This window comes from Homo sapiens, chromosome 6 (genome assembly GCF_000001405.40).
Source record: "Homo sapiens chromosome 6, GRCh38.p14 Primary Assembly".
NCBI lineage: Eukaryota > Metazoa > Chordata > Mammalia > Primates > Hominidae > Homo > Homo sapiens.
Genome location: NC_000006.12, coordinates 133087464 through 133112804, shown reverse-complemented (window position 1 = coordinate 133112804; position 25341 = coordinate 133087464). Strand labels below are relative to the sequence as shown.

The 25341-nt window shown below is 36.9% G+C and overlaps 1 long non-coding RNA gene across 1 annotated transcript; it reads right to left on the bottom strand.

Moving 5' to 3' along the window:
* Positions 1-6226: 6226 nt before the first annotated feature.
* LINC00326 (long intergenic non-protein coding RNA 326) lies at positions 6227-24725 on the bottom strand. The gene is made up of 4 exons (NR_026969.1): positions 24228-24725; positions 16242-16295; positions 12621-12798; positions 6227-6710 (listed from the first exon to the last, which is right to left on the bottom strand). It is a non-coding gene; the product is annotated as a long intergenic non-protein coding RNA 326 (long non-coding RNA).
* Positions 24726-25341: the final 616 nt, after the last annotated feature.

Below are 25341 nucleotides of genomic sequence, written 5' to 3'. Positions count from 1 at the left end.
TCCTCTGTTTTTGCCTCCCTCCCTCTGAAATCTTCACTAGAATACGAAGAACAATGTTTTATTGTGAGAAGCCACTGAAATATTTGTGATTATTTTTTATAGCAATTATCCTACTCCAATTAATGTATTGTTCCTGAAAGTAGGGACTATGTATTAGTCCATTTGGACTGCTATAATGGACTAAGACTGCATATTTTATACACAACAGAAATGAAGTTCCCAGAGTTCTGGAGGCTGGGAAGTCCAAGATCAAGAGTCTGGCAGATTCTATATCTGGTAGGGTCTGCTTTCTGGGTCATAGATGGTGCTTTGTTGCTTTGTCCTCACATGGTGGAAGAGGCAAAGTGGCTCTCTGGGGCCTTTTTTATAAGGGCACTAATCCTATTGTTCTCATGATTCAATTACCTCCCAAAGGCTCCATTTCCTAACACCATCATGTTGGTGATTACCTTTTATCATATGAGTTTTGTGGGGACCCCAACATTTAGATTCTAGCAGACTATATGCCACAATTTTTGTTTTTCTCATGGAGCTAAGTATATACGTCTGTATATGTATATGTGTGTATATATATATATACACACAACTATATATCTAATAGACAGTAAATGCTTTGTGAATGAAGAAAATAAAAGAAAAAGATAAATGTGTTTAAATAAGTATAGTTTAACAATTGGGTGATCATTGGAGAAGGCTATCTTCAATCTATAGTAGTTATTATGTCATGTGTATTTGAACGAGAAGAATGTACTAGTCTTCCAGGTTGTGTTGGATGTTATGGCTGAAGGCAAAAGTTAGTAAATATAATAGAAAGGTTGAAAGCACAGACACTGGGTTCCAATCTGCTCTGTCACTTACTAGCTGATTATTTTGAAAAAGATACTTAGACTCTTGGGGTTTCAGTTTATTTATCCATCCATTTCATCTGGGAATAATACTCACAGTGTAGCTGTCTTATAGGGCTGCTGTGTGGGTTCCATGATTTGACATTTTTAGAGTACTGTGAAGAGTGCCTGGCACATCATATTGTGTTTGTTAGTATTGAATATAAAAATATTAAAAGGTAGCCCAGGTTTTCTTGGTTTTGGCCATATTTTATGCTGTTTCTTTTCTATAATATCTTCCCCTCCTACAATGGTTTTGTACTGGTTGACATAGAGTGCTATTGAATAGAGTGATAGAAAAATGTGCGCTTTTTCCTCATCTTTACGGTGTTTAGATGTATTCTGGTTTGTCAGAATTGTTGATTAGAGTCAATAATAGTTTCTTATCTCAGACTTATCATTATTGCATTCTGTTAAAGTCAACAGTAAATGTCCCTTTTCTTTCACAACAGCTTTAAAACTTAGTAAGGTTTTAATTTTCTCTTATGATTTCTGAAAACCTTATTGATATCTTTTAGCAATGTGGGGTTTTATAGCCTCAGAACACAATGGCGTGTGCCACAGATTGCTCTTTCCATTTGTATTTTGTGTGTAGTACACAGCCAATGTCCTGCTTGCTGTAACCTTTCCTCTCAGTTACATGTTGTGACCTTCAGTGTCTCTAACTTGTTTGCCCACCACTACATTGTTCATCACACTCTCAGTTTTCCTGTCCTCCCTTCACTAATTCTGGATGTCCAACTCACTAACTTTTATGTCTTTCAGCTTCTCTGTGTTCCCATCTGTACATTCACACACACAGCTGTGATTTTCTTCTCCTGTCACACCTACTTTTTTGCTGAAATCAGCCATGTGTTCTCAGAAAAGCTTTCATATGCCCTCAAAAAGAACTTTTTAATGTAATGTGTAGTCTTTTGTCACTGCAGTGAACAGCACTTACGAAATGCTGTTTTTAATTTGTGCTGCAGAGCTCAAATGCATCATGTTCCTCTCTGAATTAGAGATAATGACCAGGTCAACTACCCAATATTATGACAACCTTCAACTAAATATCACTTCTCCCTCCACCTCCACCCACCCAATACAGTCATATAAACGCATATAAGTCAGTGGAGTGTAGGAAGAATCTTCAAGAAGACGGCATGCCTTTGATACCAGTTTGTTGCTGTCCTTTTCATCTTTGAAATAGAGTGACAGACACATTAAGACCCTTAAACCAAATGCTGTGGCTTTCTTCTTTGATTAGAAAGAATCTTTGCTTGAATTTTGTCGTTGCTTATTCCTGAATTCAAAAGACAAAGAATAGCTTATGATGAAGAGACCAATATTTAGTGTTCTATATGCAAGGTTCTTGGGGGAGTTTACAAAGTAGACCCTTTACAAGTTACAATGTTTTGTAAAGAAGTTTATTACAAGAGCAGTTGTTACATGTGTCTGTGCCTTGCATTAGCTTGGTGTTGTCTTGAAGGGCTCCAGTGTCTCGGAGTAGCAGACAGAGTTGGGCCACAAAGAAGAGGAGTGGGTAGGAGCAGAGACAAACACAGAGATACACAATGGAAGGCTTTTTGCGACATCTGTGTTCATTAAAGCTATCCTAAATGGAACAAACTAGGCCCCCAAACAAGGTACCACGATGGGGATGGCTCTGACCTCTCTAACATTCTAATATCACTGCAGTTTGTCTTCAGTCTCTTCTCGTCAGGGCTTTGGCAAGGCTCTTGGTGCCCTTTCTCGTCGTTCTCTGAGGCTCCCTTGCCTCCTCTCACTGGCCTCCTGGCATCCCCTTGGCTGCACCCTGTCCTGTCTGGGCTTCAAGGCCACGTGTTCTTTCTCCCCCCACCCCCCACTTCCCCACATTGCTCACATCACATTTTATTATCCTCTCAGTTTCTTGCTCATTTATTAGTTTGTTGAGAGAAAGAATGAGATCTGATTTATCTTTTCTGCGTATAAAACAGGGATATCCTGCAGGGGTATAGTAGAGTGCAAAAGTTCAATATATGTGTGGTAGAAAGAATGAATATTGACCCTGTGCCTCAAGATCTTGCTGACTTATGGGCTGACCAATAAAGTGCACATGGGTAAGAATGCAGCTGTGATTTAGCCTTCCTTGAATATATTTAAATATTTTTATTATTTAAAAAATAAACATGCTCATTTTGAAAACTTCAACAAAACAGAACTATATGAAGTAGAGACCCTCTTTTCTTTTTCTCCTCTAGCCCACTGCTCAGAGAGATCCATTACTGGTGTGTAACCTGAACACTCCGATAATGAGGCACTTCTATGCACAGACAATCACACAAACACATTTATAATATATGAGTTGCTGCAGATCTATCTATCTATCTATCTATCTATCTATCTATCTATCTATCTATTACCTATTATCTATCATCTATCTTATCTATCTATCATCTATCTATCCTTTATTTGAACAACTATGAAGAAATGCATGACAATCTAGCCCATGTTCTTCAACAGTGAATATGGCACCTGATCTTTCCTTACGACTCAAGCTTATCTATATGAACACCTATCACAACACACCAGTAATTTAGAGCCTCACACTTGCTGAAATCCTGTGATGCCCCCTAAAACTGTAGAGTCGATACAAGTTCTTCACCCAGCGATGACAGAGAGTGCTGTATTTTTTCCTAGGCCTGATTTCAGCATTTCTCCAACTCCTGCTTAGCTCTCAGTTGTTCCTTTTGCTTCTTTCAGTTGCTTGTTTCTTTCCTTCTAGTTTGCTGTCCGTAATTTATTACATTTGCAAATTAGGCTACCAGTCTTGCTAGAGATGTGCATAAAGTGAAGGTGAAGAAGTTCTAAGAGAGGGCTTCAGAGGGTTCTTTTCTAAATCAGATGCACATACCTTTGGGAATGGCGTTTGTGATTTGAGAGTTACATGCAGAAGAGTCCCACGTCAGGCTGCTGACAGGTGAGATCAGCCGAAGCAACCGAGACCTTGTGTTTAAAAAGTATCCCTAGCAGAGGGCTCGGCTCTGAACTGCAGAGTGTTGCTGGTTGGCAGAGACAGAGAATCAAACTGTGACCTAAAAAATAAAGGCTTACAAAAACAACAACAAAATAAACTTTCTGCCTATCAGCTACAGGATTGCTTAAATCTTGAAGTCATGTGAATTGTGAGAGTAACTAAGAGCTATCAGCTTTAACATACAGACATACTACAGGCAAAAGAAAATAAAGAGTTAGGGGAAGGGGGAGAAAGCCCTGTCAGTAGCTTTGAGCTGCCTCATTTTTTTTTAATGAAAAAATTGTTACAAATGGGTTCTTCAGCATATGTTATTAATTTCATTATCCTGGCTTCTTGCCAGTTAAGCATCAGGCTCTGGTTTTTGTGATTTCAGTTGCAACTAGTAAAACTCACGTGGGCATTAACAGAAACAGACAAGAGAACTTTTTTTCAAATCAACTGCAAGTGACTATTTTAAAGGCTTTTATTTCGTAAAACTAGTTGGAACATTTGTTTTTGTTGATGAGAAGAATTATGCTTTCCTAAAATATGATATTTCCAGCCCATGCTAGCCTTATTTGAAAGACTTTGAATAAATTATTGATACTGGCAAGTAAAATATATTTATGTTATGTTTTAGAATGTATAAAACTTTATAAATGTTCATAAAAGGCTTACTTTTTACGTTTTACTACACTACATAGTTTAAAAAAAATGAACACTATAAAAACCAAAAATGCTTTTCTTCTAGATGAAGATATTGTGATAAATACTTTGAGAGCAGAAAGGCAAATGCGGTATTAAAATTTCATCACGAAGACTCTTTATTATACCTTTTGAAATAGTGTAATTCTATCATTAAAAGGCATTATCCATGTCACACAAAACACTCAGGAATTAGCATCTACCTTTCTCTTTAAGCTGACATTTATTGAGTGCCAATTATCAACCAAGCACTTTAATAATACTACCTTGCTGTTTATCCAGCACACATTTCATACCAGGCAATGTGTTAAGTGTTTTATATAGAGTCTTTTAAAAGAAATACCTACAAACTTTTGAACCAGGTATTTCTAGCCCCAATTACAAATAAGAAACTAAAATCAGAGAAGGTTTGTCTTGCCCAAGGTCTTACTGCTAATAAATGTGCATAAGGAATTCTAATACTTAGGGAATATTTGACTCTAAGATTCAGGGCGAACAACAGCTCTGGTTTGCCTGGCACTGAGGAGTTGCATAGGATAAGGGATTTTTCAGTCCTATAACTGGAAAATGTCTAGATCGTCCACAATGAGTTGGTCACCCTATTAGAATCTGTCATTTTACCTGCTGTGCTGTCCACACTTGCTCTGCCCTGCTACTCCTGCTCTCTTCCTTCAAAGCCCATCAGTTGTCTGAATGATGCATTCTTTTTCCTTTCTTTTAACCTTGAGCAACAGTCCTCACACCACTTCATATTTTCAAGTTTTGAAAATCCTTCTAAGGACCAGGACATTTTAAATTAATATATCCCTTCACAGAATCATTCATTCCTTTGTTCAACAATGATTTATTGAATACTTTCCATGTGGCAGGCTCAGGGGTTACAATGGAAAACCAAGTCTGATTCTTGTGGTGCTCACATGGATAGGAGAGGGGACAGATAAGAAACAAATAAGTATATTCTACATCTGCTGGTGATTGAGAGTTGTGAAGCAGAGCAAGGACAATGGAATGAGATCAGGTTTGTTTTCTAATTTCGTATGCTGTAATCAGGGAAGGTGTCTCTGATGAGGTGACCTATGAGCAGTATTGAGATACAAGGGAGCATGGCATGGAGGTAATCAGGTGGCGCAGAGCCAGTGGAGGGAGCAGGGTTGGTTCAGTTAGGACCTCCCAGGCTCTACTAAGGAAATTGTTGGGAGGAAGTTGTGTATGAATGTGAGGTCCACTCTTTTTTTTTTTTTTTTTTTTTTTTTTCTGTTTCCCTTTCTTTATGTAGAAGGCATAAAAGCAGAGTATGGAACCCAAAGAAACCTTCCTTGAAATTTTCTACTTTGCAATTTAGCCCTGGTGACTAAGATCAGGTTAGAAGTTAGGACTGGAGAAGTAGAAATAGCCAGATGGTGATGAAAAAGAATTATGCTTAAAGTCTCATATTCCCGATCTTTATCGTGATTCTCAATGTACAACTTGGAATTGATGAAACTCAGTCATGTGAGCTGATACTTTCTTGAGTCCCTGAATCAAATAAGACAGTTATTAATAGTAAGCAAGTTCTCAGATGTTTTTGGTTCTAAGGTTTTAGCTGAGTGAAAGTATTAATAATAATGACAATAACCACATAAATAACTTGCATTTGAATAATGAGTTATAATTCTCAATGCCTTTTTCTTAGCATTATCATTTATTCCTCACAAAACCCAATGGGGTAGGCAGCAAACATATTAGCAATATCATTTTATACATGGTAAGCGTAAATTCTCAAAAATAAAACTTAGGTGATTCATCCAAAGCCATATTTGTAAAAGTCAATGGAGACAGGACTGCAACACAGACTTTATTCTTCGTTCAGTACATCCATGTATGTTCTCCATGTTATTTCAAAGTGATGTCTCTATTTGGAAACTGTAAACTAAGGGAAAACTGTCCAGTCTAGAAGTACATGTTTCCTTTGCCAACATCAAACACCATTCCACTGCCACGCTGCAGTGACTCAATCCATTCTGCTTTCAGGTTGAGTGTTCTGCTCATTGTAAAAAACTTCTTCGTGATCTGAAAGGTGAGACAGCAGTTGAGGGTTCTTATTCTCACTCTGCTCCCAACTGTCTTCTGATCATCTTTAAATTCCCATTTCCTATAGTGGAAGACTAGGGGAGAGGTGGGAATGGTTAATGGGTACCAAAAAAACTTGGAAAGAATGAATAAGACCTACTAGTTGATAACACAACAGGATGATTATAGTCAACAATAACTTTATTGTACATTTTTAAATAACTTAAAGAGTGTACCTGGAATGTTTGTAACTCAAAGGATAAATGCTTGAGGAGATGAATACCCCATCTCCAAGATTTGCTTATTTCACATTTCATGCCTGTGTCAAAACATCTCATGTATCCCATAAACATATACAACTGCTATGTGCCCAAACAATTAAAAATAAAAAACTAAGTAAATTCTCATTTCTCTTTCTTTCTGAGCACCTATGTAGTCTAGATGAAAGTAGACCTCTTATCAGCCCCTTTTTATCTCCTATCTCAACCCAGGAAATATTAAAACATTATTTCTAACACATTGGTCTCAATTTAGACCAACCTCAAATTGTACTTACCCTTTAAAAAGTTGTTTGATTCTAACCTTTCTTCAAGTTACTTTCCAGGCCATCTAATTTTCACACCCAACCTTCTTTTAAAAATTATATTCCCTATCTTCTTTCTTCTTCATCCTGCTCTTGCTTTCATCGTTTCATTAAATATTGTCATTCTTGCCAATCAAATTGTCTTCTTTCTTCCCATCCTCAGAGACTGCCAAAGCTTTCAGTCCTCCTTTTCTTTTGCACTGAACTCAGCCTATCCCTAGTGCTCCTATTACCAGTTTTCTTTCCAATCTAATCTTTCCTCACATTGTTGCAGAATGTTCTTTCCAGCCCAAACTGATTCTGACAGTCTCCAATGCAAAGCAATCTCTGTTGACTTCCATGACCTGCAATATGTAATCCAAATTCCTTAGCTTGGCATACAAGACCCATCACAAGCTGGTCCAAACCTCCTTTTTGCACTTTATTTCCTGCCTCAATCATTCTTTCTCCTTTCATGGCTCCATGCAGGTGCAAATGCTATTTCTTCTGCCTGGTAAATGCTCATTCATCCTCTAACACCCAGCTCAAGGGTCACCGTCTCCCATTCCCCTGTGTGATTCCAAACTATGTTGATTATACCCTTTCAACAGTTCTCGCCATATGGCAATACTGTTTTTCCACTTATGTGTCCGTCTCCCCAACTATGCTGTGTTTTGCTCACTGCTTGGCACATAGTAGGTTCTTTATAAACTTTTCAGTAAGTATTGATATGAATAAAGAAATTCATGAATGAAGTAAGGGAAGCAGGTAACTTTATAACATAAATATCAACATTTATGTCCTTTTATTCACCACGAGGGAATAAAAGTTCAACATTACAATAAATAACTTACATGAAAGTGTGTGTGTGTATACACACATTTGCCCCAGTAACTATTCCCTAAGTGTATTTCAACTACTGTAGTTTTAACAGCTGTCATATATGTAAATATTGCAATAAATTTGAGGTTGCAGTTTTATGGCATTGAAGTGAAAATGAAAAATTCCAGTGAAACACTATACTGCAGCAGTATCATAGAGGCTAAATATTATAGATCACTATCACAAGACGTAAAACCATGTGAAGTAGTGAACCTTTTTAACCTCTGATAAAAATGCACTGTTAAGGGATTAATAACATAGCTTTTATAAGATATAAGACACAAAAAGATAGATATAAGATATAAATCAGATGTAAAATGATAGGAGCATATCACAAAAAAGTAGATAAAATTGGATCAAGAAAACTAAATATTAAATAATATGTAAAAATTATTTCTCTATTCTTTTATCTTTTCAAATGTATCTGTAACATACATGTATTATTTTAATAATGGGAAAGACAAGTAAAAAATAGTGTGCTTACATAACTATAAGCTCTTTAAGTCAAAGAAACAGTTTAACCAGTGGCTAAATAAAATTTTTAGCTACTTAGATATTTTAATGTTATCATTAACAAATCTAATGTTTTTATATTTCTTTTAAAACAAGATTGTTTTCTTCTAATTTTAAGAAGAACTTATTTGTTGTGAATATCTGAAGGACAAAAAATTTAAATTACTCATAATTACACTAGCTACAGCAAGTGGAATTATGGCTTATTGACTAATTATGTCAATATATCCTCCTTATTCAGCCATTTAGCATATACATTTCTGTGTCCTTCTTTTATTTTAACCTATTAGTCTGTCTGAATTTCTGATTATTTCCTTAGGAAAGTTAGTCTTTGTATGGAGATGATTCCCAAATTTACATCTCCAGTCCTGACCTTTCCACTGAGTTCCAAATATAAGCTCACATATAAAAGTTCTTCCTTAATGGCTTCAGGCATTTCAAAATCTAGGAGGCATCTCAAAGTCAATGGGGCCAAAGCAACAACTGATTCCCCTGCCACATTTCCCTGTTGAAACTGTCCCTCCCAAATGTTCCCATGTCATAAGAGATCCCCCAACATGGGTAGGCCCATTTGCTTAGGTCAATAATCCATGGGTCGTTCTTAATTTCTCTCACTGCAGCTTCCTCCATCCAAGAGCTATCGGCACCTCATTCAAAATGTGCCCTTCAAAGCTTTTTATCTCTCCTGGTGCCTGCCACACTCTAGTGTAGTCTCCATCATCTCGTCTCTAGACTGCTTCAGTAATCTTCTCATTAGCTTTCCTACTTGAAATCCTGCCGCCCTATGAAGCCTGTTCAAGAGTACACCACAATACGAATGGTTTTGACTTGTAACACGACTTGAAAATGTCAATCATCACACTGAGACTGAGAGCTAAGCTTTTAGATGTGCCATCTAAGGCCCATGCCTACCCCTTGCGCTCTTCCCATCAGTACTTTGCTGGTAAATGTTAAAAAGTGGGAGTAATAAAAGTCCTGGTTTGTAGCATTTGCTGATTACTCTGGTGTACATACTCCTCTGGTATAAATCCTTACTGATTTCAAGCTACCAGCGTGATGTCACTGACCATGCTATTGAAAAGAGATGTTTGTAATCAGCTCTTAGAGGCAATATGAACAGGCCACAGCACATCACTGGGACCCAGCACACTGGGTCTTTTTGTTCCCACTGCACACTCTTCTGCTTTAGAGCCTTTGCATCTCTTCCACCAGGACCACACGTGGCTGGTTACATATTGTTATTCGATTATCAGCTGAAATATCACCTGTGGTAATTAATTTGATGAGTCAACTTGGGTAGGCTACAGTGCTCACTTGCCTGGTCAAATAAGAGCAAAACCAACTTGCTTGGTCTTCATTGCCGTGAAGATAAATTAGGTGGGATTAGCATTTAAGTCAGTAGACTTTGAGTAAAACATCTCATCCTCCATAATATGAGCGAGGCTCATCCAACAGTTGAAGACCTTAAGAGAAAAGACTGAGGTCCCCGAAGAAGAAGAAATTCTGCCTGCAGACTGATTTCAGATGCAGTAGTACAACATCAATCCTTCCTTGGGTTTCCAGCCTGCTGGTCTGCCCTGCAGATTTCAGACTTGCCTGCTCCCACAGTCATGTGAGTCAATTTCTTTTTCTTTTCTTTTTTTTTTTTTGAGACAGAGTCTCGCTCTGTCGCCCAGGCTGGAGTGCAGTGGCACAATCTCGGCTCACTGCAAGCTCCGTCTCCTGGGTTCACGCCATTCTCTTGCCTCAGCCTCCAGAGTAGCTGGGACTACAGGCGCCTGCCACCAGGGTCAATTTCTTAAAATAAACCTTTCTCTGTCTTTGTTTCTCTCTCTCTACACACACACATATGTATGCACGTAAGTATGTAACTATCTATCTATCTATATATCTATCTGTCTATCTAGAGATATGTATACACACACTATTAAAATGTATATACATCCTACTGGTTGTTTTTCTGGAGAACGCTCACTAATACATCACCTCTTCAAAGAGAGTGTCCCTGACAACCCCTGGTCACTCTTTAACATATTACTCCAATTTATTTTCTTCACTCTACATGTCACTTTCTATAATATCTTACTTATTTGTTTATGTACATGGTTATTGTCTATTCTCTCTTGGCCCCACTAGAATGAAAGTACCATAAGAACAAGTACCTGGACTGCCTTGTTAATTGCTGTATCTGTCATCTCCTTTGCCTGTCATAAAGTGGTGCTTTTCAAAAGTGTGGTCAATGAGTAATACTAAGAAATGTAGTTAGGGGGTCAAAGAAGATATTTTTAAAAATGTAAGACTCTTGGTACTTTAAATGCTTTATAGAAAGCTTGTATCAATTAGAACTGTCATCAGTGTCAGTATTAGAGTGACTATCTCAATATTCTCTCATTTACATCCTGCATTACTATTTTGGACAAGTTCTGCTAATATAACCAACCCCTTAACCATCCTTTATGTCCTACTAGTCCACTACTCAAAAGAACATCATCGGATTAGACAACCTGACATACACATGTGGCTCACAGCATGATACAAAACACCTCTTTACTTTCCTTCTAAATGACCAACTGTGCATACTGAGGCTATCTCAGACAGACATTAGAGAGTCATCCTCCCCTTCCCACTATCTCAGTTTTATTTTTTTCTCTCCATCCTAGTCCTGGGGTCAAAGAGGGATCTCCAGTAGCATTGCAATCCTGCAAAATAGGAGGGAATCAAGAAAAACAGCTCCTCCAGACCCAGGCTCACAGCAAAACATTAACACAGCAATGAATCTGCTCTTATAAAAGGATACTTGTTCTCTGTCTCTTCCCTGTACTTGAAGAGTAGCTTGTTATTGTAGCTCTGTATTACATTTTTAATAACCAGTAAAGCAAGCCCCCCAGAATACCTCTTCAAGCATTTCTTTGATTTTTTATCCTTTATTCTTTCTATTATTCTCAGACTATGGTCTCGGAAGGGAAGTTGGGTGAGCAAACCCGTCTAGTATAGGGTTGGGCTGGCGGGTGGGATGGAGGATGTGTGAAATCCCATTGTATATCCCCTTGTCCTCACTAATCCAGCAGACAAAGTGATATCTCATTTTAAGTTGGTAACATGTTTTATTATATTTAGTAGTCACAAATATTTTCCTCATCTGTGAGCTCTTATTTAGAAACACTTGGACCTCTTTCCTATTGGCAAACTTACTGGTTGGCATGAGCTCTATTTAATGACATAACCCTTTGTCATTTTTCTGAAAATACTTTTCGAATTTATTGCTGATCCCTTAATTTTGCTTATGAAAGGATTTAATGTATCACAGCTTGGGCTTTTTATATTGATTTTTTTCTTCTTTAGTGATTACTTCTTTTTCTGAAATCTGGAATTATATTATTATTTATATAAATTATGTATCATTTTATTTTTTGACATTAATTTTTAATTTATCTGAAATGTGTTTGGTTATAATATTTGAAGATAGTTTATTTAATCTACTGTTACAGCAGCATTCATTATATATCTTTGTAATTTATTTGATTTTTCGATTGTATTTTTATTTAATGATTTTATTTGGTTTATTGGAGTTTTGTTTATTTGTTTGCTTATGGTTATTTGCAGTGGTACTGTTGTCATATAGAAAATACTTATCATAATTAGGACTTGTTTCTAGTTTTTTTTCCTATTTCTTGAATCTGCCTTTTGATTCTTGAATCTAAACCACTCTGCCTTGTTAATGTGGCCCTGTATTACATTTTTAATAACCAATAGATCAAGTCCCCCAGAATACCTCTTCAAACATTTCTTTGATTTTTTATCTTTTATTCTTTTATTATATGCATCTTCAACAGGTGCTACGAACTCAAGAAAATCCCACTAGGAGTCCCACTGTCATACACTATATCTAGAACCTAATATGAGAAAAATGTCTGCCTTTAAAATGTCGAGGCTCTTATCTAGCAGCACGAAAAGATTACTGACTCTTAATTAAAATAAAAAATTATGGTAAAGATATTAAATGAATAGGTGATAGGTGAAAACTATAGAGATAATTTTGGGTAAATACCTGATTTCTGGATCCAGGCCATAATACCAATCTTCCCATCTCCCACCTTCACACAATTGAACATTCTGATTCTTACTGAGCACATATTCTTCGTGATGAAAACGATTTTGTCTTCTTTCAACACTCAGTTGTATATGCTACACATTCAGATACCTGATGTAAATTTTTGACCTTGCGTCTACAACATACAACAAAGTTGAAATGAAAAAATCATTTCAACTTTCATTTGAAGTGTGAAGGAAGCATTATATATCTTGTAATACAGGAAGGAGATTACCAAAGGAAAGAGGAAAATGATCAAATTAAGCAAATCTCATAACTCTCTTCTTTAAACAGAGGGGTAAACCAAAGCTAAAAGCATTCCAATGCATGACTCAATTCTCCTCTTGATCTTGTATAGTTAAAGATTGTGTATTCACAGAAGGCTCACTTCACTAAGGAAACCACAGTGAATCTATTATGCAGGAGCTCTTATTTCAGGATGTTGCTGCAAGAATTCCTTAGGGTTTTTCCTGTAACCTTGAGCAACCTCTTTAAACATCATTCACCAGTCACACACAACTATATATAATCATACATTACAAGACAAAAAAAAATTTCCCTTACTTTCAATTAGATTAGAAAGCCATATTTTTCTCAAAAACATTTTTAGTCCTTTTACCCCAAAGTTTATAATTACTTCTTTTATTTATGATTGTATGGAACAACTACAATTCTTAAATTAAGAGGATTTTTCAATGAACTCTAACCTTTCTATTGCAGTGCAAGCATAAATACTCAATTGTTGTTTGATTATTTATCAAGGGCTGGGCTGTGGGCTTAAAGTTTCCCATTGCATTTTGTAATTTACTAGATGTTTTGGAAATATAAGAACAAAGGATAGCCAGAACTCCAGAAAAATGTGGTATCTGATGAAAATATGGGAGTTTTAAATCTTACTATTTCCCCAAATTAATTTGCTTATAACCAATTTCCTTCTCACTTAGAAAAAAAATATATCCTGGCCCCTAACTAAAGAGTCAAATATTAGAAAATGCTTCACAGGAGCATAAATACTGGAATTCCTCAGAAAAACAAAATTCTTCTTTAAGTGGGATTAGAACCCTATTAATTCATTGGATAATGACAATTCTGTTTTTTCCTTTACTCTTGCAAGAGTGCAATGATTGCACCTCTTTCAATCTAAGAAATAATTGCACCACTATTGTTTTATCATGATATAATACCTGTGTTTGCCTGTCAAATACAGTATATTGAGTTGAGAACTAAGTTTGAGAAAAGTAGTATATAATACGGCTAACGTCCCCTTCAAGTCCTAGAATAAAAACTTTAGACCTTCTTAGAGATAACTGTTAACAGTTAGGAATTCTGACATTACCACACATTTTTTTACAAACAATAAAGGTGTAAAAAGTAATTTATCATTTTTGAAAATAATAAATAATAAATGTGTATGTACAGATAATAGCAGGAAAAATCTGTATGTACACATTTATTATTTGTAAAAAAATGTATATACATATTTATTATTTGTAAAAACTAAGAGCATCATGAACCTCATAGTGTCTAGTAAATATATAAATTGTTTTTAAAGCCTCTATTAGTGATACAGGATCAGATCAAGATTATTAAAAGTGAAAATGAATTTGGTACAACGAAATTACTTCTTGGAGGCAGCATGTTATGAAACTCTTATCATGCTCTGTAGTTTAACTGGAAGAGTTTCTACAGTTTAGGATAGAACTGGAAAGACTTCACATAATAATTGATGAAGACATCTGAATAGCTGGTATTAAGGATACATTCACACTTTACTTCTTTCATTGCCAGAACTTTTAGGCCATCCGTAGAAGCAGTAAACTTTACTAAGGTATTTAGACAATAGAAATATTCAGGAAAAATAAAGATGCACATTCTGGAAAAAAAAAAACAGTTCAAATCATGTTTAAAACAATTGTGTTTACGCACAAGGAAAGAAAAAATAAAATTTAAAGCATGAGATAATTAAGTGGCTTTTGTGGACTGTTACACATTACCTGTAACAAAGGGGAATAAAGTCATTGAGGCTTTTTTTTAATGAATAAACATATTTTTATAAAACATGAAAAATTTCTGAAAACCAATAACAAAGATATCTGGTGTGTGCGACATCAACATTCATTTGACACATTTTTTATTACAAATTTAATATATACTAGATTATACTCAAAAACTTCCAAAGTTTCCATTGCCTCCTAGAGTCATGATTCTCAATTCTAGCCTAGAAAGCTTTTTTTAAATGCTTTTGTCTGAGTCTCTTTCTTGGATAATTCAGTCAGTATCTCTGAAGGTGGAGCCCAGGTATTGGTGTTTTAATAAGAGTTCCCCAGGTAAATCTAATGTCCAGCAGGCTCCCATTATTTTCCTATATGAGTGTATATGTCACTCTGTATGATTTAATAACTACATTTGCCTTGCATTTTCCAATCTCTAGACACATCTTTGCTAATGCTTTTCCTTCTGTGGACTTCTCATCCCTCATACCAAAGTTTAACCGCTTGTTAAGACCTTCACAAGACACTAACAGCTATTGAGTGTTCAATCTTCCCATTCTATAGAAGTATTTACATCCCATACTGTACTTCACAGCCAAGTGGAGAAAGTGAGTAAGCTAAAGGCAAGAGTAAAACGGGGCTTGATAACAAGGGTAGAGGGTGCTGTGAGAAAGCACATAGTAAGAGCACCTGACTCAGACTTGGAAATCTAGGAAAGCTCCTAAGGAGCTGGGGCCTGAGGGATGAGTGAAAGTCAGGAGAGGAAAAGAGCATGTTCAGAACAAGAAAGAGCATGTGTGGTGGCTTAGAGTCAAGAGACAACATGGGTTATAGAGCAGGAAGTGCTCTCTATATATAAGGTGGGAAGTGGTTGTTGGCAAGTCTAGAGGGAAAAACAGAGGCCAGGTTATGCAGATAGTGTCAGTTTCTGTTAAGAGCTTGGGTTTTAATTAAGGAACAACAGTGAGCTAGGGAAGAGTTTTAAGAAGAGGGTTAGCACAATAACAAGCAGTTTAGAAAGATCACGTTTGCTGTGGTGTAGAGGCAAAATTGATTTGGGTGGGAGCAAGGCTGGAGACAGGGAAACCAGTCAGAAGGTTTTTGCAATAATCAAGATGAAAGATTATGGTGGCATGAGCTGGGCAGTGCCAGTGGCTTGGGCTGTGACACTGTCTGGCACACAGCTGCAAATGCAGGATCGTTCTTTGTAGAGAACTCCCTAGAGAGCAGAAGAAAAAGTTTCCAGAGCCATCTGTATGGAAGTGGTGGCTTAAGCCATGGAAGTAGAAGAGTTTTCCAAAGAAAAAAAATTAGAAGAAGGTAAAGGACAGAACCTTAGGGAGTGCTGACATTTAAGGGAAGAGTCAAGAAGAGGCATGAAATAAAGAACAGGCAAGTACTGAAGGGAAGCAACTTAATCATGTATTGACTAAGGCAAGATTTTTGGACTCCTCCTTGGCAAACTTGTCCACTGGTACCTAATCAGGCATCTGATCAGGTAGCACAGCCATCTTTTATTGCATTATATTGTGTATCTGTGAATTATTATTCACAAAACTGGAGTATAGATTCATTTAATTTTGCATACCTTGTCTTAAACATGCAGAAGTTGGGTTCAGTGTAGCACATCTTGGTGTCACCCCTATAAAATATTAGTAGAAAAAAAGAAACTGAAGACCAGAAATGTTAACAAAAATAATAAAAAAAGAAGGGAGGCAGAAGACGACGATAGCAGGAAAAAATATAGTTTTAACAATTGATAGAGATGAGGAATAATAAACACAGTCCCTAGAATTTTATTAAGATGGCATCTGTAAAGAAAGAGGTTTCTCTGACTTTCCAGACAGGACAGGTTATATGCTCCCAGGCACTGTGTGATTCACCTTTGTAGCATGCTTCGAAATTGTTATAAAATACCTAATTATATAACTAGTTAAAGCGTGCTCCCAACTCGGGCTGGAATATAAGCATCTAGAGACCCAGGGCCATATTTGTGTCTCCAGCTACTAGAATAATATCTGACAGGTGGAACATGCTCATTAACTAGTTATTGAATAAATGGGGGAGGATAAAGAGATCTCACGTAGAAAGCACTGAAAGAGAAAGTACAAGATGAAGGGAGGTGGGATTCAGAGAGATGAGAAGTATGGCCCAGAATGCAGGAGTCAACAACTGTTGTAACTTGAAAAAGCACTAATCATAGGGTGGCCATATGTCCTGGTTTGCCGAGGACGTCTCCAGTTGACACCTGTTCCCTCAGTGTAATTATTAAAAGTGCCCCCTTTCATTCTCAAAAGAGTCTCAGTTGTTGTGATGAATAAATATCTAGAACATTTAACTAGATATTTGAATGGAACATCAGATAAAGAAAAAAATATATATGTGTGTTTAAAAAATACAACTTTAGTTATATTTCATTTGGGGTGAAAGTTTATGGTGAGCAAAATAGTATAGAAATTAGCATACTATACCAATTTAATTATAAAATTTAAGATTTATTAGAATTCACTGATCTCTCTTTATTTGACTAATGTTTAGTCAAATAGTTTTTTAATTGTTTAATTTTAAGAATATAAACTTGGTCACAAGGTCCTGATTTTGTATTCTCAAACGCTATTTTCACCATGACACAATGAAACGTTTTGGAGTATAACTCTGCTTTTGATAGAAGGCACTACCAGGCTGTTCTCCTACTTCAAACAGCTGTCTGTAAACCCCACTCTTGAACATCAACCACCTAAATTTGCAAAGCCCTGGGAATTCTTTGGATCAAAGCATCTTTTAACTGAACAACACTATTATCAATTTGAATGTGAATTTGAAAGTTTGCCTGGTGGGTAGAATTGAATTGCCCTGCTGATTTTATTAAGCTGATCAAACTTCACTATCTTGTAGCAATTCTTTTCTATCTACTGTTCAGGATAAACAGATTCTCAAACTAATCCCAGAAAATACTGAGTAATAACTTTTCATTTCAGTGTGGGCCATGACAGGCACAGGTGAGGAGAGTTAATCAGTTGCAGGCTGTTCTGCTGCTCAAAGCAGCCAGAAATCCCTCTAGAATCTTGTTATTCCACAGCAGATGCCCCAGTTTGAGGAATAGTTGAAATTTTTTCCCTGCCCAGAGATGCTATGAATTTGTCTTATTCATTTTGTATCCACACTATCTGGTATATAGTAGTGGCTCATTATAAAATGTTCTGGCTTTTTTTTTTCAGCTTATTTAGCAAGTTTTTGTTTTTGTTTTGTTGTTTAGACACAAGGGTCTTGCTCTGTTGCCCAGACTGGAGTGCAGTGGCACAATCATAGCTCACTGCAGCCTCAAACTACTGGGTTCAGGTGATCCTCTTTTCTCAGCCTCTTGAGTAGCTGGGACTACATGCACACATACCACACCCAGCTAATTTTTAAAAAAAATTGTAGGGAGGGTGTCTCGCTATGTTGACCAGGCTGGTCTTGAACTTCTGGCCTCAAACAATCCTTCTGCCTTGGCCTTCCAAAGTACTGGGATTACAGGCTTGAGCCACTGCGCCTGGTGATTTAACAAGTTTTTTATACAATTTAGCAAAATTTATATAATGTGGCAAACAGAGCACTTACAAACATTTGTTGAACTGCTGAAATTGTTATCCACTGATTTCCCTGGAAAAGGATTTGAGAAGGCTCGTATGAAAGTCATTTATAGGTTTTTTTAAGAATTAATTGAGGTCATATTTTTGAAAATTATTGTTGACCTTACAGTTTTTCATAACTATGAGCCTTATTTTTATTATAATCATCATGCCAACACTTAGAGAATCAAAGTTACATAGTGAAGGAATAGTGTAGAGGTCATTGCATCCACATGAAATAGCTTCCATCCTCCTCAAAGTCCTTGGCTAGTCTTCAGCCTGATCATACCTGGGCCCTTACTTACTAAGCAGGGTGCTTTCAACTACTGCAGATCAGGGTTAATTCATTTCCGTTCCTGGTTCTGTTACTCACTAATTGTGTGAATGCAGAGAAGCCTATTGTTTGCTGAGTCTCATTTTTTTCATCTATAAAATGCTACCATTGTCTGCGCTTCTACGCTCCCATAAGACCTTACAGTTGCCTCTGTTATCTGAGCTGAGATTTATTGATTTCTCACTGTGTCAGATGCTGTTCTAAGCTTTTTATATCTAACTCATTAATGGAAACAAAAACTCTGTAAGCTTTTCTGTTTTCTTCCCTTTTTCTCTCCCTCCCTACCTCTCTTATTCCTTCTTCCTTCCTCGCATAACAAGTATATATATATATACATATATATGAGTATATATATATATTCTTCCTCCTATAACAAATATATATCCAAAGTTATACAGCTGCTATGAAATAGAGCCAGAACTCAAGCAATATGGTGCCAAAAATTCAAACTCTAACCACTTATTTTATTTTTCGTTTTAATTAAATGAGTGCACATCTTTTCTGACCACTAAAATGAGAGTTTCTTAAGACCAAGGACTGTATTTTATTAATATTTTATCTGCCTTATACCCAATTGTTTAGTTGGTATGGGGCACATAGTAGGTATGCCATGAATATTTGCCAAATATACAGCTGAGTATTTGCCCTGCTATCTCAAAAGGATCACCTATCACTCCTGTGATTAGGTTATGTTATGTGGCAAAGGTAAAGAGATTTTTTAGGTGAATTAAGGTCACTAATCTGTTGACTTTGAGACAGTCAAAAGAGAGGTTATGCTGGGTGAGCCTGACCTAATCAGTTGAGCCCTTTAAAACAGACTCAGCCAGGCATGGTGGCTCATGCCTGTAATCCCAGTACTTTGGGAGGCCAAGGCAGGCGGATCACCTGAGGTCAGGAGTTTGAGACCAGCCTGGCCAACGTGGCAAAACCCCATCTCTAATAAAAGTAGAAAAATTAGCTGGGCGTGGTACTGCATACCTGTAATCCCAGCTACTCAGGAGGCTGAGTCATGAGACTTGCTTGAACCTGGGAGGCGGAGGTTACAGTGAGCCGGGATCGCACCACTGTGCTCCAGGCAGAGTGACAGGGCCACTCTGTCTCAAAAATAAAAATAATAAAATAAAAGAGACTCAAAGTAGCAGCCAGAGAAGCACCTACTGGCCTTGAAGGAGCAAACTTCTGTGATGTGCAGAGGAATCACATGACAGGAAATGGCAGATGGTCTCCAGGAGCTGGAGACTTCAGTCGTATGTCACCAGAAACTGAATTCTGCCAACGCTCAGTGAACTTGAAAGAGAGTCATGAGGCTTAGACAAAAATCATGTGCATGGCTAATACCTTGATTTTAGCCTGGTGACACCTTAAGCAGAGATCCAGCTAAACTCATGACCAGACTCCTGCAGACCGTCAGTTAATAAATGTATGTTGCTTTTAGCTGTTAAATTTGTCATAATTTGTTGTCAACAGTGAAAACTAATCCAGAGCCACTCTAACATTAAAATTTGGGTTTTGTTGAATTTCTAGAATTGTGTGTTATGATTGGAAATATGAATTGACTTTGGAAGAGAGAAGTAAAAAGGCTGCCCTTCCATGGCATCCATCAGCATTGGTCTGTACAACTTTCTCATGTTTTATTTTTTTCCGCTTTACTCCAGATCCCCACTGCTATTCCAGCCCCCAATGGGCACCCTCTTTCATGTTGTAATATATATCTTTGGCTATGTAATGATCCTCACACAATACAGTGTTATTGAGCAATTGTGTGTGTGTGTGTGTGTGTGTGCTCTTAATTCATATAAATGATATTGTGTAATACTTCTCATTCTACTTCTAACTTTATTCTCTCAAGCTTATGATTTCAAAATGTAGCCACATTGGTACTATTCATTATTATCTAAAATTCATCTGCCACTTATCTATTTCCCTAGGTTTTGGACCTTTACCTAGCTTCCAACTGCCTTCTTCCACCAACATTACTGTGGTAAGTATCTTCAAACATGTCTGTGTATGCTGGAGAAATATACTCAAAAGGGGTATTGACTGATCGTAGGGTATGTGTTTACGTGGTTTTATTAGGTGCTGTCAGATTGCTTTCTGGAAGGCTAGCTTACATTTCAACCAGCAGTGCAGGAGAGTTCCTGTTTCTGCATAATCTTACTAAAACTTAGTGTTGTTTAATTATTTTTTTTTTTAGTTTATTCAATTTGATGGCTGTAAAATCTTACCTAATTAGCTGTTTGAATTTCCCCTTCTGTGACATTCCAATTCATGTACTTTACCTATTCTCTTTCATTCTTTCTCTCCCTCAGTCTCTTTTTTCTTCTCCCTCCCTCCCTTCCTTCCTTTCTCTCTCTCGCTTCCTTCCTTTTTTATTTTAATTTGCAGAAGTTTCTTATACATTCTGATATTGATCTCTTTTCACATGTATTATCATTATATTTACCAATTCTGTCACCTATGTATTTAATCCTCAATTTTAATGCATCAATTATTTTCTTATGATTGAGACTCTGGGGGCAATTTTTGTAAAAGCCTTTCCCACCACAGAATCACAATTTTTCCTTTCACATTTAGTTTTTTATTTAATTTGAAATTTATTTTTGTATGCAATATGAGGAAGGCACCTAATCTTACTTTTCCTCCTATGGACTTCTCATCCCTCATACCAAAGTTTAACCACTTGTTAAGACCTTTACAAGACACTAACAGTAATTTCCCTCAACACATTCAATTAGCAATCTATTTTTCCCCACTAATTTGTGGTATCATCTTTTATTATATATCAAGTACAATAAACAGATATAATTTCTGGGCTATCCATTCTACTTTTTGAGTCTGTTTGTTTCTGTGCTAGTGCCTCAGTGATTATTTTTTAAAATAATTGTTAAGTCTGAGTCCTATAAGAAGCAGACACAAAGATGGAGAGAGGGCTGGGAGCTAGGGGAGTCATCAGACCATCATGCCAGTCTGACCTCGAGTGGAGAGGCTATGGAAGGAAAGAAGAAAGGTTGCCAAAAACCCTCTTGGGCTGCTGTGCAGTTTTAAGGAGAGTTTGTTAAGGTTGTTGGAGAGTCCTGGAGCCAAAGCTGCCTATTAGAAGCCTTTCATGTCCTCCAGTATTGGGCTTACCCTACTATTCCCACCATGCTTAATGCTTGAGTAGGAGCAAGCCTATTCTCAGGCACAAATGCACCAACATGGTAAAGCATTTCAGAGTGCAGCACCTAGGGACTGGCCCACTCATGCTTGCTGCATTAGAGATGGAGAGGGGCACCCCTTTGTTACCAATATGGTGAATCCACATGGGGATTCAAGACTGAATCTTCTTTTCAAGACTGATTTAGTGATTCTTGGCCCCTAAATTTCAGAGTAAGTTTGTCAAATTCTTCAAAATATCCTGGTGAAATGTCTATTGGAATTGTATTGAATTCTTGGATTAATTTGGTAAGAATTTGTGTCTTTGAAGTGTTAAGCTTTGCCATTCACAAATGTATCATACAATTTTATTTTTTTCAAGCATTGTTTTATTTAATTGAGGAGGCTTTAAAGATTGTCCCATAAAAGCCTTGTGCATTCATTGTGGTTAAATGTTATATAATTTAGAAGATTGATCGCTATTTCAAAGTCTATTCACCATTTATTGGTTTATGATTCCTCAACACGTCACGCTATGCTTCTTTGGGTCTTATACGTGGTGAATAATCTACTTTTTTTTGGTTTTGGTTCACACTTTGTCCTTATGATTTCCATCTCTGCCATTTACATGGACACGTCTTCTCTTTGTTTAAATGGTATTATTAATAATACCTTTTCCACTTCCAAGTGTTTATGAGTGTGTCAAATAAGCCAAAGTATATGGCTTTGTAAAAGCTTTGTAAATGGAAAAGTGCTAAATAGATTAGCATTTTCCCAGGGCGTAGCAGAAAGCGAGTGCTCAAGAAATGCTTGCAGACTGGAGATGGAATGGAATGTTAGCATATTATAATAACATATTTTCATTTTCCATCACCCAAACTCTCTACTTGTTGTCTTCAGCTATACGATGGGCATAGCCCCTTGAATTTCTCAGATTCAATATCTTTTGTATTCTGTAAATGAATAGTGCCCTCTTCTTACTCCTTTGCCATAGTAACTTACATTTAGTAAAAGCTTCCAGGTACATGAGTGATATTTGCCTCCTGGGATGCATCTCAGCTTTTTAATATTAAGGGTGAAAATAGCCTTTTTGTGTAAGTTCAAATAAATATCTTGGATAGTGTCTTCAAATATAACTCCAAATCCTATGAGGTTTACCATCAGCTACCTGTCACAGACTCAAAGATAGTGAAGCAGAAAGCAAACAAGAGTGCCAAATATTTTGCAAATTATGACTTTACGTTATCAAAAAAGATTTCTTGTAAGTGTAACATAGGGAATATTCTTGTTAAAAATTCATGGAGTACCATCATTTTAATAATTTTATTAATTTATTAATGTGGTTTCTAAATTAGTTTTCGTATATCAATAAAATTATTTTAAAATATATATAATAGTTAAAGGACAGCTTCCCACTCTAAGTCCTCATTCAGAAAACGACATTTTCTGTTTCCCTCTACTGCTAATTTGCCATAATACATCTGTTTTTATCATTGACTTTGGATGTTTTTGTAGCTTGTGAAAATACTGAATTTTCAATTCCCCCTTAAACATTTCCCCATGATTCTTTTAGGCCATCTATTGGCCACTTTCCTTTAGCTCAGTAAAGACTCAAGAACAGTGCCTGCCTAATCCCCTATCACCATATAAATAGGCAATAAAGAATTTACAGCAAGGTCAACTCTTAGGGGGAAAATATTTAAAAGATCATTAAAGTAATTATTCCCTGGAACCTAAGGTAATTGTTTTAAAATCAGATTTCTAGAGTTGTATGGCAATCAAATGAGCAAAAAGTTAAGAGAGTTAGGCACAAAGTGTGTCACTGGTACCACATTCAGCAGCCTTTCAAATGATGGTTTAGATTTCATGGTGAAATCACACAGATTAAATGGCATTCATCGTGTCATTGGGTTTTACTGTGGGGCTGAAGATACAGGTGTAAAGTTCTCTTCTGGTTCTGCTTGATGTGATTTGAGTCGTTGGTCAAGGCAAGCTTCTTGATGGCTCGGTTTTCTGATTTATACTACGCTTGTCACTCACTTAAGGAAGTTTTAGGTGAAGAGGATGGAACTCAACCTGATTCATTCATTGGTGATGCACAATAACTGTATACTTCCCACCCAGGTTTATTTATTCAAACCTTCCAGACAGCTCCTTCTGGTGTTTGTCGGCCAAGACTTCTGTGTTATTATGGATGGCCCCATAGCAGCTCTCGCCATTGTAAATAAATCTCCATATTACAAACGGGAGGAGTCTGGCACAGAAAGAACACCAAACAGCAGCACTTTCAAGTATTATATATATTTTAACCAGGGTCAACACTTAATGAATAAGGAATGTTTAATAAAACACTTAGGAAATACAGGCACATATGTAAGTGCCAAATTATCAGAAATATCACTTACTGACATAATGTAACATGTTAATACACAAACCCCCAGGATATGATAATTTGTGTATTTATTTCTGAAAAGAAACATGACTGAAGACTTACCTAATGTCAACTGATTAAACTACATCAGAAGGTGTATTCATTTTCTATTGCTCCTGTAACAAATTCCCACGCAATTAGTGGCTTAATACAACATAAATTTACGGTCTCACAGTTCTGTAGATCAGAAGTCTGAGTGATCTTGGCTAGTTTCTCTGCTCTAGGTCTCACAAGGTCAAAATCAAGGTGTCGCCAGCCTGGCCTCTTATCTGGAGGCTCTGGAGAAGCCTTTTTCCGACTTATTCAGGTTGTTGGCTGAGTTTAGTTGCATGCAGTTGTGGAATTAAAGTCTTCATTTCCTTAGCGGTTGTGGGTAGGTGTCAGCAGGTTCTCAGCCTCTAGAGGCTGCCCCCATTCCCTGGTTCATAACCTCCTTCATCTTCCAAGTCAGCCACTGCAGAAGTTCTTCTCACTCTTCAAACCTCCCTAACCTCCCCTTCTGCCTCATCTGTCCTGTCCCCAGCAGGAGGAAGTTCTCAGCTTTTAAGGTCTTGTGTGATTAGGATTGTCTCTCTTCTTAATTACATCACAAAGTCCATTTTGTTGTGTAACATAACATAGTCATAGGTTCCATGAATTAGGATGTGGGCATCATTGGAGGACATCCTACCTACCTTCCACAGAAGGTAAATTACAAAGGAAAAAGTCACTCCACTGGATTTGGTCTATGTGCATCCACCTTTGACAGGCCTAGTGATAGGCAACATACTTGGGGAGAAAATCCATTATGTGATGTTTCCAATGGAAGCCTTATCTGTGAACCACCTCCCAGTTGAAAGCAGAGTTCAGTAGCCACAGAGTCTACTTAAAAGACCAAACAGAAAATTAGTGGATTTTTCAGTTTTTAGCTTCTGTAATACATCAGTGTCATTATTCAAAAAGCAATATTCCAGTCAATGGGCCATACTTATGTAAAATTATCTCCTAAAATAAATTTTCAATTGATAACTTTTAAAGTAAAACAAAAGGCAGCCATCCAGGGAGAATTATTAGCTTGCTATATGACATTGGTGGAACCAGTGCTTCTTGGACTAGATGTCTTGTACCTTGTGCCTCTTGGACTCAGAATTACTGAAAAGCTAATGAAAATTTCTATTATTTAAACTAGCTTGGGGAA